General features: G+C 51.8%; 1 protein-coding gene across 3 annotated transcripts, besides 3 other annotated features; it reads right to left on the bottom strand.

Moving 5' to 3' along the window:
* Positions 1-8,116: 8,116 nt before the first annotated feature.
* MLF2 (myeloid leukemia factor 2) lies at positions 8,117-13,262 on the bottom strand. 3 transcript variants are annotated; one of them, NM_001382226.1, is made up of 9 exons: positions 13,060-13,262; positions 12,406-12,483; positions 12,046-12,175; positions 11,762-11,797; positions 10,834-10,887; positions 10,298-10,426; positions 9,969-10,128; positions 8,891-9,103; positions 8,117-8,668 (listed from the first exon to the last, which is right to left on the bottom strand). In NM_001382226.1, the coding sequence occupies exons 2-8, from the start codon at positions 12,453-12,455 to the stop codon at positions 8,916-8,918; spliced, it is 747 nt and encodes a 248-aa protein (NP_001369155.1). In that variant the 5' UTR covers positions 12,456-12,483; positions 13,060-13,262; the 3' UTR covers positions 8,117-8,668; positions 8,891-8,915. The 3 variants fall into 3 exon arrangements, with proteins under 3 accessions (NP_001369155.1, NP_005430.1, NP_001369154.1); NM_005439.3 differs by lacking the exon at positions 13,060-13,262 and adding an exon at positions 13,003-13,037; NM_001382225.1 differs by having other exon boundaries at positions 8,117-9,103.
* Positions 13,159-13,398: a silencer, noted in NCBI's record as "silent region_4179". NCBI's record gives its function as "represses an Ori minimal core promoter by ATAC-STARR-seq in GM12878 lymphoblastoid cells {active_cell/tissue: GM12878}" and the evidence as "EXISTENCE:reporter gene assay evidence [ECO:0000049][PMID:35858748]".
* Positions 13,569-13,618: an enhancer, noted in NCBI's record as "active region_5879". NCBI's record gives its function as "activates an Ori minimal core promoter by ATAC-STARR-seq in GM12878 lymphoblastoid cells {active_cell/tissue: GM12878}" and the evidence as "EXISTENCE:reporter gene assay evidence [ECO:0000049][PMID:35858748]".
* Positions 13,649-13,818: an enhancer, noted in NCBI's record as "active region_5880". NCBI's record gives its function as "activates an Ori minimal core promoter by ATAC-STARR-seq in GM12878 lymphoblastoid cells {active_cell/tissue: GM12878}" and the evidence as "EXISTENCE:reporter gene assay evidence [ECO:0000049][PMID:35858748]".

Consider the following 14,898-nt stretch of genomic DNA (forward strand, 5'->3'; position numbering starts at 1 on the left):
CCCATCTCTACTAAAAATACAAAAAAATTAGCCGGGCGTGGTGGCGGGCACCTGTAGTCCCAGTCACTTGGGAGGCTGAGGCAGGAGAATGGCATGAACCCGGGAGGCGGAGCTTGCAGTGGGCCGAGACCGTGCCACTGCACTGAAGCCTGGGCAACAGAGTGAGACTCTGTCTCAAAAAAAAAAAAAGAAAGAAAGAAACAAAGAAAAAAAAAGAGATAAATGCAAACATACTAATTATATTAATTTTTTATTTTTATTTATTTATTTTTTTGAGATGGAGTCTCACTCTTGTCGCCCAGGCTGGAGCGCAGTGGCGCGATCTCAGCTTGCTACAACCTCTGCCTCCCAGGTTCAAGCTATTCTCCTGCCTCAGCCTCCCGAGTAGCTGGGATTACAGGCATATGCACCAAGCCCAGCTGATTTTTGTATTTTTAGTAGAGACAGGGTTTCACCATGTTGGCCAGGACAGTCTCGAACTCCTGACCTCAGGCAATCCTCCCGCCTTGGCCTCCCAAAGTGCTGGGATTACAGGTGTGAGTCACCACACCTGGGCAATTATATTAAATTTAAATGGCCTAACTACAATTAAAAGACGGATAGGCTGGTGGTATACATCTGTAGTTCCAGCTACTTGGGAGGCTGAGTTGGGAGGATTGCTTGAGCCTGAGAAGTTAAGGCTGCAGTGAGCTGTAACTGTGCCACTGCACTGCAGCCTGGGTAACAGAGTGAGACCCTGTCTCAAAAAAAAAAAAAAAAGAAAAAAAAAAAAGACTCACTTCTTAACTCCAGCACTTTGGGAGGCTGAGGCGTGAGGATCACTTGAGCCCATGATTTTGACACTAGCCTGTGCAACACAGTGAATAGAGACCCCATCTCTATTTTAAAAAAATATCAAAATAATTTTTTTCTTTTTTTTGAGACAGAGTCTCACTCTGTTGCCAGGCTGGAGTGCAGTAGTGCGATCTCGGCTCACTGCAACCTCCGCCTCCCCGGTTCGCGCCATTCTCCTGCCTCAGCCTCCCGAGTAGCTGGGACTACAGGCGCCCATCACCACGCCTTCCTAATTTTTTTTGTATTTTTAGTGGAGATGGGGTTTCACTGTGTTAACCAGGATGGTCTCGATCTCCTGACCTCGTGATCTGCCTACCCCGGCCTCACAAAATGCTGGGATTACAGGCGTAACCACCGCGCCCGGCCAAAATAATTTTTTTAAAAGACCCAGAAATACAGTGTCTTAAAAAAGAAAACAAATACTTTTAAGTATGACATAGGTCGGTTAAAAGTAAAAAGATGGAGAAACACGTACCATGAACACTAACCAAAAGAAAGTTGAAAATGGCTGTAGTAACAGTTAACTAAACTTCAGAGCAAAGAAAATTACCAGAGATAAAGAGGGACATTGGCTGGGCTTGGTGGCTTAAGCTTGTAATCCCAGCACTTTAGGAGGCCGAGGTGGGCAGATCACGAAGTCAGGAGTTCCAGACCAGCCTGGCCAACATGGTGTAACCCCCATCAATACTAAAAATACAAAAAAATTAGCCAGGCGTGTAATCCCAGCTACTTAGAAGGCTGAGGCAGGAGGATCACTTGAACCTGGGAGGCAGAGGTTGCAGTGAGCCGAGATCATGCCACTGCACTCCAGCCTGGGTGACAGAGCGAGACTCTGTCTCAAAAAAAACAAAACAAAACAAAAAAGACATTACATAATAAGATATTTGGTTTTCCAAGTAGATACAATAATTCTAAATGTCTATGCATTTAACTAAAGCGCTTTAAAATGCACAAAGCAGGCCGGCCACTGTGGCTCACGCCTGTAATCCCAGCACTTTGGGAGGCCCAGGTGGGCAGATCACTTGAAGTCAGGAGTTTGAGACCAGCCTGGCCAACATGGTGAAACCCCATCTCTACCGAAAATATAAAAAATTAGCCAGGCGTGGTGGCATGCGACTGTAATTGCAGTTACTCAGGAGGCTGAGGCAGGAGAATTACTTGAACCTGGGAGGTGGTCTAGCAGTAGCGAAAAGTGTCAAGGAACAACACCCGCTACTTAGCAGACCGGGAAAGTGAGTCTCCTTTTCCCCGGGGGAGTTTAGAGAAGACTCTGCTCCTCCACCTCTTGTGGAGGGCCTGACATTAGTCAGGCTGGCCCGCGGTTATCCGGAGGCCTAACCCTCTCCCTGTGATGCTGTGCTTCAGTGGTCACGCTCCTAGTCCGCCTTCATGTTCCATCCTGTACACCTGGCTCTGCCTTCTAGATAGCGGTAGTAAATTAGTGAAAGTACTAAAAGTCTCTGATATGCAGAAATAATGGCGTAAGCTGTCTTTCTCTCTGTCTCCTCTCTCTCTCTCTCTGCCTCAGCTGCCAGGCAGGGAAGGGCCCCCTGTCCAGTGGACACGTGACCCACGTGACCTTACCTATCATTGGAGATGACTCACATTCTTTACCCTGCCCCTTCTGCCTTGTATCCAATAAATAACAGCGCAGCCAGACATTCGGGGCCACTACCGGTCTCTGCGCATTGGTGGTAGTGGTCGCCCGGGCCCAGCTGCCTTTTCTTTTATCTCCTTGTCTTGTGTCTTTATTTCTATGCTCTCTCATCACCGCACACAGGGAGAGACCCACCGACCCTGTGGGGCTGGTCCCTACACACACCCAGCTAATTTTTTGTATTTTTAGTAGAGACAGGGTTTCACCATATTGGCCAGGCTGGTCTTGAACTGCTGACCTCAGGTGATCCACCTGCCTTAGCCTCCCAAAGTGCTGGGATTACAGGTGTGAGCCACCGCGCCCGGCTTTGTTTTTGTTTTTGTAGAGATGGGGTTTCACCATGTTGCTCAGGCTAGTCTCGAACTCCTGGGCTCAGGCAATCCTCCCTCCTCAGCTTCCCAAAGTGTTTAGGATTCCAGGTGCGAGTTGCCACGCCCTGCAGGAAATTTTCTATTTAAAGGACTTCTATGGTGAATCATTCCATACAGCATATTAGTATCATTTCTGTCAATCTAGGTTTTGAGTCCTGGCTCTCTCTGTGCTACTATCAGATAGCTGTATGATGTTGAACAAATCACTTCTCCGTTTCTTCAGAAGAAAATGGAAAGGGGGGTTTTGATGATATCTGGAATGACTGATAAGGGGCATCTGAATCATCTCCAACCCTGACATTCGGCTTTAGTATGTCTGAAAGCAGACCTACTGCCACATTTGGGAATTTCCAGAGCAGATGATCTCTAAGGTCTCTTTTTAAGTCTGAAATTGTCATTTATGACATATTTGGGCTTGCTGAAATTAAGATTCATCTGTATTGGGAATCGGCTTCTGTTCTTCCCTGCCATATTCCTTGTGAATTGTGAATTCCCCCACCTCAAATACATAACATCTTTATCTGAAGTCACCAGTGGTGCTCTAGGAACACAGCTTTGTTTACTTTCACCAAAGCATTTCCCATCTGATATGGTTTGGCCGTGTCTCCACCCAAATCTCACCTTGAATTGTAGCTCCCGTAATTCCCACGTATTGTGGGAGGGACCCGGTGGGAGGTAATTGAATCATAGGGGTGGTTTCCCCCATACTATTCTCGTGGTAGTGAATAAATCTCACAAGATCTGATGGCTCTATAAGGGGAAACCCCTTTTGCTTTGTTTTCATTCTGTCTCTTGCCTGCTGCCATGTAAGACGTGCCTTTTGCCTTCCAACATGATTGTGAGGCCTCCCCAGCCATGTGTAACTGTGAGTCCATTAAACCTCTTTTTCTTTATAATTTACTCAGTCTCGGGTATGTCTTTATCAACAGTGTGAAAATGGACTAATACACCACCTCAGTGTCATCTTGGCTTTTCCCAAGGTATCTCTGCTCTGTTTCTTTTTTTTTGAAACAGAGTCTCGCTCTATCCCCCAGGCTGGAGTGCAGTGGCACGATCTCGGCTCACTGCAAACTCCGCCTCCCGGGTTCACACCATTCTCCTGCCTCAGTCTCCTGAGTAACTGGGACTACAGGCGCCTGCCACAACACTTGGCTAATTTGTGTGTGTGTGTGTATTTTTAGTAGGGACAGAGTTTCACCGTGTTAGCCAGGATGGTCTCGATCTCCTGACCTCGTGATCCGCCCGCCTCGGCCTCCCAAACTGCTGGGATTACAGGCGTGAGCCACCGCGCCTGCGCTCTTTTAGAGACTCAGTCCCACCTGGACAGCTCTTTCAAGTCCCCCCTCTCTCCCATCCTCCAGTTTCATGGGCCCAAATGTCTCAGACCCCTCAGGTGCTTGGTTGGCCTCCTGGCCAGAGAACACTGACATCTTCAAGATGATGTTCCAGAAATGGCAAGCTCTCCAGGTGGCAGGTGACAGATGAAAAGGAGGGGGTGATGCCAGGAGAAACCAGGAGCAGCACCCTATTCCCACCCAAAAGATAAGGGCTTTAGGGAGGAAGAAGAGAATCTCAAGGGGCAGAGAAAGGCTGAAGGCTAACCCAGTTCGCCTCATCTCAGGGACAGTCCAGAGGGGCCTGAGCCCAGGTGGGGAAGCACTCTCTGCTTCTGCTGGTCCCCCAAGAGCTACCGTTTAAGAGCAGACACGGGCCAGGTGCAGTGGCTCACGCCTGTAGTCCCAGCACTTTGGGAGACTGAGGTGGGCGAATCATCTGAGGTCAAGAGTTCCAGACCAGCCTGGCCAACATGGTGAAACCCTGTCTCTACTAAAAATACAAAAATTAGCCGACCATGATGGTGGGCGCCCGTAATCCCAGCTACCTGGAGGCTGAGGCAGGAGAATCGCTTGAACCTGGGAGGCAGAAGTTGCAGTGAGTCGAGAGCGTCATTGCACTCCAGCCTGGGCGACAGAGCAAGACTCCGTTTTAAAAAAAAAAAAAAAGCAGACACGGAGGCTAAGAGGGCTAAGAGTCATCAGCACACTCTACACTGGGGGGTTTCAGGGCCCCCTCTGTAGCAGCTCTGTCAGGCTTCAGCGTCCCAGGCTCCTCTCCCTCAGGCTATGTCAGCTCTGTGCCCCCAACACAGGCTCTCCAAGGGATGAGGCTGGACAGAGGCTTCTTATGAGAGCCAGCTACCAAGGTCTCTTCCCCATGCCCCAGCTCCTCAGTGATTTCTTTCACCTCCCAGTGCCTCCCATGCCTCACCGTCCCATCTTTATCTCCCCATCCTGGTGCAGCACCACCCGTTTCCTGCCTCTCCTCTCTGAAGACTCCAGTGATGTCTAAGAGTGAGAGAGGTTAAGACTGCTTTCTTCTTATCCCTAGCCCAACCAGAATGGGCTGAGAGAAAGCATCTTTGACCCCTGCTGTTCCCTCAGCCCCTGGAATGACAGTCCCAGCATTGGGAACATAAAGGCAGGAAGGTATGTGAGTTAAATGGACTTGGAATATGCAGGCAGCAAGACCAGACTGCTGGGTTCTGTGGGCCAGCTTCTGGTTCTCTGGGTCACCTGTTCATGTGACTTGGACATGAGGTAGAGGGTGGAGGAAAAAGGGTATTATTACTAGGGCCTGAGGCCATTACAATAGAAAGGGGGAAAAATCCCAAACCACAAACAGGGCAGGGGGAGAGTGGCCTCAGACATTTGTTTCTCTTTGCTGACCTGTGGGGCTAAGGTCTGGAGAGAGTGAAAGATGACAGCCAGGAGCTGGGAGGGTGAACGGCTGGGAGCTGTTCAAGATCAGTAGGATGAGATCCAGATCGTGTCTGGAAGTATTTTAGGGGTCCTGAGGATGGAGTGGGGGATGAGGGACCACCAGAGAACCCTGAAGGAGCAAGGCAGGGAGAGAGTGATCAGGGAGAAATACTAGCATGGAATGGTCATTTGTATCCCATGTGCATGTCAGACTCTCTGCACTCACTCAGGTCTCAGTTCTGAGGTATGACTCCATAGTCACCAGTGCCTAGAAAGGTTCATTTTACAAAATGGGGAACTGATGTTGCGAGAGAGGAAGTCTTTCCCACAGTGCAGCTGAGTGGTGGAGCCAGGTCTTGCTTGTGCGTGTGCATCCTGTCTCCCTCCTCTGTGTTATTCTGCTTAGTCACACACCTAGTGTCAGCCTCTTCCAACCTGTAATGTTCTGGGGTGGAGAAAATAACCTGAGGCGTTTGCCCATGTCCTCTGGATACTCGCTGGGCCGGTGGCTGAGGGGTGGCTGTTGTGTGAGGCTGGGCCCAGATGGAGAGCTGACCGGAAGTAGAGTATCTGTGTCCCTCGGGAAAGTTCCTTTCCTCTTCCTCTCCCGTGGCCCTTACCCCAGTGGCAGACAGGTCAGGACGTGCTAGGGGGCTGGTTCTTGAGCATCTCACTCTACTGATGCTAACACCTCACTTCCCACAACATATCCCTGCTGAGAACTAGTCACAGGCCCCAGGAGTAAGTGCTGGGCTGAAGGGTGGTCCAAACCCTACAGCAGGGAGCAGGAGTACAAATCAGTTCACATGTCTAAAGGCTGGGACCTGAACAGGGGAGTCCCTGAAACACTGGACTGACTCACCTGGACTGAGGTCAGGGCAGCCTTACTCTGCCGCAGTCACACTCAAGACTACACATGCGCGTGTGGGCACTGGAACTAAAATCCGGGTTGAGAGGCTGGGCCTGATATTTTGTGGCTAGAAGGGCCCCACATAACTCAGGTCCAGGGAGGTGAGTGACCTGCCCAAGACCACAAGGCTGTCAGTGGCCGAGCTAAGGACTGAGGCTCCTTCAACTCCAGGTTACCTTGCTGCCTTCTCAGGAGAGTGAAGAAAACGACTCCCTTCTCAGAGGAAACAGTCGTGTGCTTATCTGGACAGGGCAAGATTACACTTAAAGATGAGGGCTGTGAAGCCAGGCGTAGCAGCTCACGTCTTAATCCCAGCACTTTGGGAGGCCAAGGCAGGTGGATCACTTGAGTCCAGGAGTTCGAGACCAGCCTGGCCAACATGGTGAAACCCTGCCTCTACTAAAAATACAAAAATTAGCCGGGCGTGGTGGTGTGCGCCTGTAGTCCCAGCTACTCAGGAGGCTGAGGCAGGAGAATCTCTTGAACTGGGGAGGCGGAGGTTGCAGTGAGCTGAGATCACGCCACTGCTTGGGTGACACAGCAATACTCCATCTCAAAAAAAAAAAAGATAAAAAGATGAGGGCCATGGCTGCTGAGTTCCATCATCCACAGTTCAGAGCCCAGGTGGTGGTGAATAATCCACACTAGATTGACTTCTGGGATTCCTGGATTCTTTCACCACTGGGTTCCCTTGACCCGGTCATGCATCTTCACCAGCCTAGCCTACTTACTGAGATTTAGTAACTGCACTGGACTAGGACACCAGTGCCTGGTTGTTGAGCTCAACTTCATCTCTCTGCTTGTTGAGTCACTGGACAAATCCTCCTTATCCTCTTGAATCTACTCGTCCACGAGACACAGGGGAAGATCCTCCCTTCCCTGAGAGGACCCAGAGCCTTAGGTGTCTTTGTGTCCCTACCAACTGAAAAGAACTCAAGACTTTCATAAAGAGGAAACCATTATCAGACTCTCCTACACATTTGTCATCATTAAGTAAGTTCCCAAGAGGAACAGAGTGACCCATTTGGCTGGGCAAAGCAAGAGCAAACGTCTTGAGAAATTTGAGCTCCTCATGCCCTTCCAGTCCTGCTCAGGTTCCAGGTTAGTTTTCTTCTCTAGGCTCCTTCCCTGGGCTCAAATTCTCAACTACTGTGGGTGGAGGGTTTGTGGAACGCTGCAGACCAGAGTTCCTCCCCTCTGAAGGCCTGTGTAGGGTTATCTGAAGTGTTTCCACCCAGAGTGCAGGAAAGAAACTCTGTCCAAGGGGCAAGGGGCAGCAAGTTCCGCAGGCACCCATGAGAGATGCCCAACACATCCCTGAAGAGCAAAGTTACAGCAGAATGTGAGGGAAGAGCCAGCGAGAGAGGTGCTCATGTTCTCACGCCCCAGCCTAGCCCAGCCAAGTGCTCACGGCCTGCACCTGGCAGTGCTGATGGTCTGTCCGTACCAAGGAGATGTGGGCTTGAACTCTGAGGTACGAAGACTACAGGTGGAGACGAGGAAAAGTGAGAAGGTAACTTCAGAGGAGACAGCAGGGTTGAATTGAACAGGAAAAGATCAAAAGTACAGCCAGAATCCCACTTGGTCTTTTTTCCATTCTCCTTTATTCCATAAACACCTAGTTACAAGTTGCACAAATCAAAAAATAAAGGCAGAGAAGGGTGTAGGGAAGATTCTTTTGATGTGTGTGGGCAGGAGGAGGGAGAGAGTTAGGAACCAGTCTGCTCCTTCCACAGCCCTAGATAGGGCTACGGCCCCTCAGTGGGGGCTCTGAGGAAGAGGTGGGCAAAGATCCAGGGTAGCTGAGGGATGGAGGGGGCCCCTAAACCCAGAGCTCACCCCAAAATGCATTGACCCTTCAATGCATGGCAGGAGTAGGATGGGAAAGGTGAGGGGGTTTGAAGATGGAGTGGCAGAATGAAAAATCAAGTCAGTAGATGCAGAGGCGAAGTCATCAATGGTAAACCAGGAGATTAAAGAAGGAAAAGGTAGGGAAAGGGTGCCGTGAAAGGTTCTCCCTGAGACCCCCAGGGAGAGGTGGGGGCCGGCTTGCCTGTTAATTTAATATTAAATTGGGGATGGGAATCGAGAGGAAAAAGTTATTCAGGGGATGATTTCTCAGCCTCTCAGCCTGTACCTGGAGGGGGAAAGAGAGAGGAGCACAAGTCAAAAGGAAGAAAAAACTTACGTTAAGAGCCAGGAGTTGGGGTTTAATCCCCTATGTCAGTGAGAACATTGTTCTCTTTCCATGTCAACTTGTACTACCAAAGGCAGCTCCTGCGGGAGCCTGAACTGAGCCTGCCTTGCAGCCGAGGACCGTCCGCAGGTGCACCCCACCCTCCTTACTCCTGATACTTACAAGAGAGGCTGAGGGCCCGGGGCCCTCACCAGTCATAGCGGCGGGACTGTCGGGAAGGGGAGTCCTCAGGTCCCTGGATGGCCAGGCGGGGAGGCCCCTCCGCCCTTCGTCCCCCAGCCCCTGAGGACTCAAGCCGCCGAAACTCCAGGGGACGCTGCTGCCGGAATCGGGAGGTCTCCCGCCGCCACTCGTCATCAAACGCTGCGGCCTCACCTGGAAAGGACAGAGCGGACATGAGGCCTGTGTGCGGCCTGGCTCCTGGAGGCCGATGTGCGAGCGAGCCACAGCTTTTCGGGCCAAAGCGGCGAAGGCTGAGTGTGCGTGCAGGGATGGGTGGGGTGGCAATTCCCTTAGCTCTTTTGGTTTCTGCACGGTCCCAGGAAGCCACCGGTAGGCGTAAGGTGGCCTACTGGAGGAAGAAATCAGAATGGGATTATTCTTCAGTTCAGGTTCACAGTCCTATGTGCACACTAGGTACTTAATAATTGCGGATTTGAAAAAGATAAAGAGGGGAGAAAGAAACGGATCAAGGTGGAGAAGGGTGTAACACTATCAATACGGAACTTCAGGGACAAAGTAGGCCCCTCACAAAGACACCGCCAGCACCTGACTCCGCCCGAGCGGAGGAGGCTCCAAGTGCGGTAAGAATATGGGACTGACAGTTGGGTGCAGTGGCTCATGCCTGTAATCCCGGCACTTTGGGAGGCCAACGGTCGGTGGGTGGATCACAAGGTCAGGAGTTCGAGAACGGCCTGCCCAACATGGTGAAACCCTGTCTCTACTAAAAATACAGAAATTAGCTGGGCGTGGTGGCACATGCCTGTAGTTCCAGCTACACGGGAGGCTGAGGCAGGAGAATTGCTTAAACCCGGGAGGCGGAGGTTGCAGTGAGCTGAGATCGCGCCACTGCACTCCAGCCTGGGCACCTGGGCAACAAGAGCGAGACTCCATCTCAAAAAAAAAAAAAAAGGAATATGGGGCTGACCCAGAGCTTTGCCCCAGAAGTGTCTATGTGTTAGGGATGTCCACGGGAACCGGGTTAGGGGCTGCCAGCCAGGAAGCGGGAGGGAAGGCTCACTCTCATCCAGGTTGATATAGTCCTGCCGCTCCTCCTGGTCCCCCGTGCGATGGTTTCGGGAGCGCTGGAGGATGTGAGCCCTGTCCCGGATGTGATGCCCAATGGACATCTGCTCCAGTCCACTGTCTGAATCCCGAACAGTCCTCCGTGTCTCCCGGATCTGGGATGAGGCAGAACGTGGCACACTCAGCCGCCCCTTCCAAAGCCCTGCCTATACCATCTCAGGATAAACACACCACACACAACCCAATCCGGAAAAAAGCAGCCAGGGTTTCTGGCGGTGCCGCTCAATCCTACCTTCTCTGGGACAGGAGGGCTCCCCAACTCACCCCGCCTGGTGCCGAGCGCATCTCTGATGTCTCTTGGTAGACCTTGGGGGCACCATCACCCGTATTGGAGTAGGAGATGACAGTGGAAGATGAGAAGGTCTGGCAATTGCCTCCAGCTGTCATGTGTTCCTGAGGACAGGGTAGGTAGGGGAGGGCTGAATGGGGAGGCATCACCCCTGGTGAAGGGATTTCACCCTTCAGCTGCCTGTTCTAGCCTGTATCTTTCTCACAAAATGCAAGAACTGAAAAAACATCAGGCCTCATCATTACCCTCCCAAATTCCTCTGAGTCCAACCACGAGCAAGAAGGACCTGAAGAGACAGGGCCTTAATTGTATGCTACGTAAGAGAGCTGCTGCCGGCTGCTTCAGGCAGGCATGACAGCAGGTACAGGGTCCCAAGGCTCTCTGGTTCAATTACTTTATCCAGTACTTTACCCTTCACTAGCATACTGTTTCCCTCTTGCCTTAGAGGATGCAAGGTGTTGTCAGCCATCACTGAGAGCAAGGCCGGGGAAGGGTATGGGGCAAGTCTCACCATGTTTCCAATCATGTCATTCATCATCCCAAACATGTCCATGAAACCACCCGACTGGAGGAAAGAGATGGAAAACAGAGTCAGGAAAGCAAAGTCAGTGTTCAGAGTTGATCCTGTTTAGGAACCCACAACCCACATGGCTGCACATTTCCTTTCTCTTCTTCCTTCACATCTAGCAAGTTCTCTTTCTCATTCTGTTAAAATAACCAGAATACTCATATTTCTCCTCCTGTGAACTGCTGACCCCTTCCTCAGTCTCTGTGACTGCTGTGATCCAATTTTCCTTCTCCTGCTTGCTATATTCCCCCCATCTTTAGGAAGCAAGCCAAAGTAATGGATTCTAAACTCTAAAGAGGTAAGGCATGAAATTGTTAAAACCTACCAAAAAATCATCTCTAGTTGGCCCTTTAACTGCACTTCCCTCCTCAAAAGAACAAATTTTGCTAGACAATTACATCTTCCTAATGCGTATGAACTTCTAGGAGTACAACAGTTAATAACATCTTTTCTTTTTTTTTTTTTTGAGATGGAGTCTGGCTCTGTTGCCCAGGCTGGAGGGCAGTGGCGCAGTCTCGGCTCACTGCAATCTCCACCTCCCGGATTCAAGAGTAGCTGGGACTACAGGTGTGTGCCACCATGCCTGGCTTTTTTGGTATTTTTAGTAGAGACGGGGTTTCACCATGTTGGCCAGTCTGGTCTCGAACTTCTGACTGCAAGTGATCACCCATCTCGGCCTCCCAACAAGAGTTTAACACCTTTAACCCACAGGGCTCCTAGTACCCAACAGGCTCAGAGCTTTGTGAATGCCATAAAAAGAGAAGATTCTGGGGTTACTCATGAAACTATTCCTAAGAGGCACATTTGGGAATAATATCTAAGGGTAGAGAGTGTGTCTGAGATGGAAGGACACAGGGAGATAAAGACTCACCATTCCCAGCATCCCAAAGGGGGAGACAGCTCCAGCCTACAGGAACACATGAGGAACAGAAATTAGAGACCACATCCTATCTCTTTACAATCCCAAACCAGGCCCATGGCCTCAATTTTTTTCCATCCTCTCAAAAGGGAGTCACAAAGCCCTTTTTCCTGACCCTTTCCCCAACTCCTAGAGCATTTCACTTGCTCAGTTGGCTGTAGTGCAAGAAAATTAAGTGCTTTCCTAACTAACCTCCAACCTTTCTTTGGGTCTCAGGTGTGTCTCAGCATCATTACCTGCTGCATCCGGCGGCTGGCAGGCCTGGTCCCTGGCATGTTGCCATCTGTGATGCTGAGGAAGGGGCTATATCCAAAGCCACCTGACAACATACGGCTCATATGCTGACGGTGAATAGCAAAGGGATCCCTGTGGAGTGAGCACATAGTATGGATGGCAGAAGCGCCAAACTGTCAATCCCTCCACCACCCTGCAAAAAAATACGCACAGAGCAACAGTGGCACCGATGCCTACTTCCTGCTAGGTAGGAGCTAGGTATCCAGCCAGTTCCAACCATTCCTAGCAATGGGAACCCCGATGTCTGCCTGAACTGCTCAGAGACCTGGAGTGGGAGAGCTTGAGGGGGAGGGAATACTCACATCAGGAACATGGGATCCTCAGGCTCCACGTCCCTCATGAAGCGGAACATCCTGATCTCAGCTCCAGGGGGCTCCACACTGGAAAGATATGGAAGCTCAGATACTTGGAGGTGGCCAGGGTTTTGCACACCCACTCAGTGTGGGGACTCTCAGAGCACTGTCCTTTCCAAATCCTGTAACTGACCCCCTAAACTCCAGGGAGACCCTACTCCAGGTGTTCCACACAACCCTCTAGGGAGGGAAGGGCTCTTCAAACCTCTTTCTCAATTAGGGCCATGGAAAATTTTTCCAACCCTCTCGGTTTTTCCCTCCCCCACTCAGAGCCATCCTCTTCCCAAAGCTCTGGCCGGTAGCATACTCTCCCCTCCTCCCGCCGACGACACCGTTCTAGATGAGAATGCCAAGTGCAGGTCCTCCGCCCCATTAATGACCCCAGTCACCCCGCCCCCTCCTTACACTCAGGCCTCCCCCAGGCGGGCCTCACTAAGCCCCCCGCGCCTGTCTGCGACTCCTCTAGCTCCCGCCTCCCCGCCAGGCGAGCAGGAGAGGTAGGCCTGAGCCTCTCCTCTCCCCACCCCGCATCCCGGGCTCCCAGACCCTGCAGCCCCGTGGGCCCGCTCCCGTCCGGGGCTGCCAGCTCTGCCCGAGCCTCACCAGTGCCCGATTCGGGCTCAGCGGCCCATCCGGCCGGTTTCGCTTCCCGGTACGCTGCAGGGTCAGGGTCGCGGCCCGGAACGTGGGGATTGGTCCGGGCTTGAGCTCCTCGGCCTTCCACGCCGCCTCCTCCCACAGCTGCCACCTCCGTACGGCCCCCTCGGCCAACGGAGCCCGAACCTCGGCCAGGCCCGGGCGGAAGTGACGTCACGATAGACCCGCCCACCCGGGGCCGGGCCGTGGGAGCCCCGCCCCCTGGCGCGGGTGGTGAGATGGCTGGGGCCGAGTCCCAGGGGCGCCGGGGCCATGGGCCAAGCTCAGGGGAGCAGAGCCTGAGGCCGAGAGGGGTCCCCTGGGCACGAAGAAGGGGAGCTCATTAGTAACCTCGATTTGGGTTCTGTGGACTGGAAGAGGCTCCCATAAGGCAGGGGAGGAGAAGGAGAAGAGGAATCCATTCTTCGGGAGGGACCGGGTTGGAGGTTGAACCTGGGGGCGCAGTGCAGCACGTTCTCTCTCCCTCCTCAAGGGGAAACTGGAGGACGAGGGGCAGATGCCCCTTGGGGAGAGGCGGGCGCTCTGTGGGCGACGAGGCGGGGCGGATCCCTGGGGGGAGCTTTAAGCCGACTCTACTGGAGAAGCAGTCTACCCTAGAGGGAGGATGGGCAGTTTTCCTGCGGGGGAGGCGCTTGGGCCTGTCCCCGCTTGAGGAGGAGCGTTCCTGGCAGGGCGGAGTCCCCGGAGTGACGCAGAGGAGGTGAAACTCTCCAGCCCAGATCTAGTTCGGGCTTCAGAAAGTCGGATGGGGCAGAGGATCCAGGTTGGGGGGTTGGCCGCCAGATGGCGCTCCTCGGCCAGGCTGGAACCGGAGGCCCTTGAGAACTCGCGTTGGAGAGGGACCTGGACCCTCCCCCGTTACCCATCTGTGAAGGGTTGGACTGGGGAAAGGCTACAGTTCTGAATCTATTAGTTTAATGCCACTCTCCCCTTCCTTTTACTCTAATTCTTGTGTCCTCAAGAGCTCCCAGTCCTGCACTGACCTTTCTTGGTTGCTTTCTTAGGTCAAAGGTCTAAAGTTTGGGGGAACAAAGGAGTGGAGAGCTCAGTTAACCTGGATCACCCAGGGGAGGAGCTAAAACGGGGCCCAGAAGACCTGCCTCCAAGGCCAGAGACTGATACTTTGACATACTAAATGTCTTGCATAAAATCTGGCTCTGCTGGAGAGAAGGGCCTTCCCCTTTGGGGTCAGGGCATTTGGACTGTCTAGGATGGACTTTAACCAGACTCATCCAAACTCCAGCTTTCCCTGGTTCTTTACTCTGGCTTTTAGCCATATTAGTGCTGTGTGGAGTCTGACCCAATGAGAAAGACTTGTTCCCAGTAATTCCCTGGGGGAGAAAGAGGGGGTCCCTGGTGACTCAGGAAAAGGTGCTAGGAACAGGGCTTCTCACGTTTCTTTGGACTTGATCATTATTAAAGAGGAAAAAACAATAATAGAGACAGGGAGCAGAGATAGATAATTAAGATATAAGCTGACAGACTGGCAAGTCAAAGGAAAACAGACAGAATACAAGTAAATTTGTTTTTCATTGCTATTTCTGGGGGAAGAGACTTAGTAAAATCTTCTGTCTTCCAGATCTCTGCACTTCCCACCATGCAACTTCCCCTTATCCTCTTGCCCCAAATGAAAGCAGTTTGACATGTGATCAAGAGTTGTCCCAGTAAAGGTTCTGTGGCTGAAACTTAACTAAAGAGATCCTATCCATTTTTTTTCTTTTGTCCTCTCCTCCTTCTAAAGCAAGTTCTTTATTGTCCAGCCAATCAACAAATGTTTAAGGCCTG

This window comes from Homo sapiens, chromosome 12 (genome assembly GCF_000001405.40).
Source record: "Homo sapiens chromosome 12, GRCh38.p14 Primary Assembly".
Classification (NCBI taxonomy): Eukaryota; Metazoa; Chordata; class Mammalia; order Primates; family Hominidae; genus Homo; species Homo sapiens.

What these genes read in the sequence shown, in the direction of transcription:
- MLF2 (NM_001382226.1), bottom strand. Translation starts at nt 12,455, where the DNA reads ATGTTCCGCTTCATGAGGGACGTGGAGCCTGAGGATCCCATGTTCCTG. An exon ending in CCTTTGGGATGCTGGGAATG is followed by an intron (nt 10,888 to 11,761) that starts GTGAGTCTTTAT and finishes TCTTTCCTCCAG; the next exon opens with TCGGGTGGTTTCATGGACAT. An exon ending in TGCGCTCGGCACCAGGCGGG is followed by an intron (nt 10,129 to 10,297) that starts GTGAGTTGGGGA and finishes GCCTCATCCCAG; the next exon opens with ATCCGGGAGACACGGAGGAC.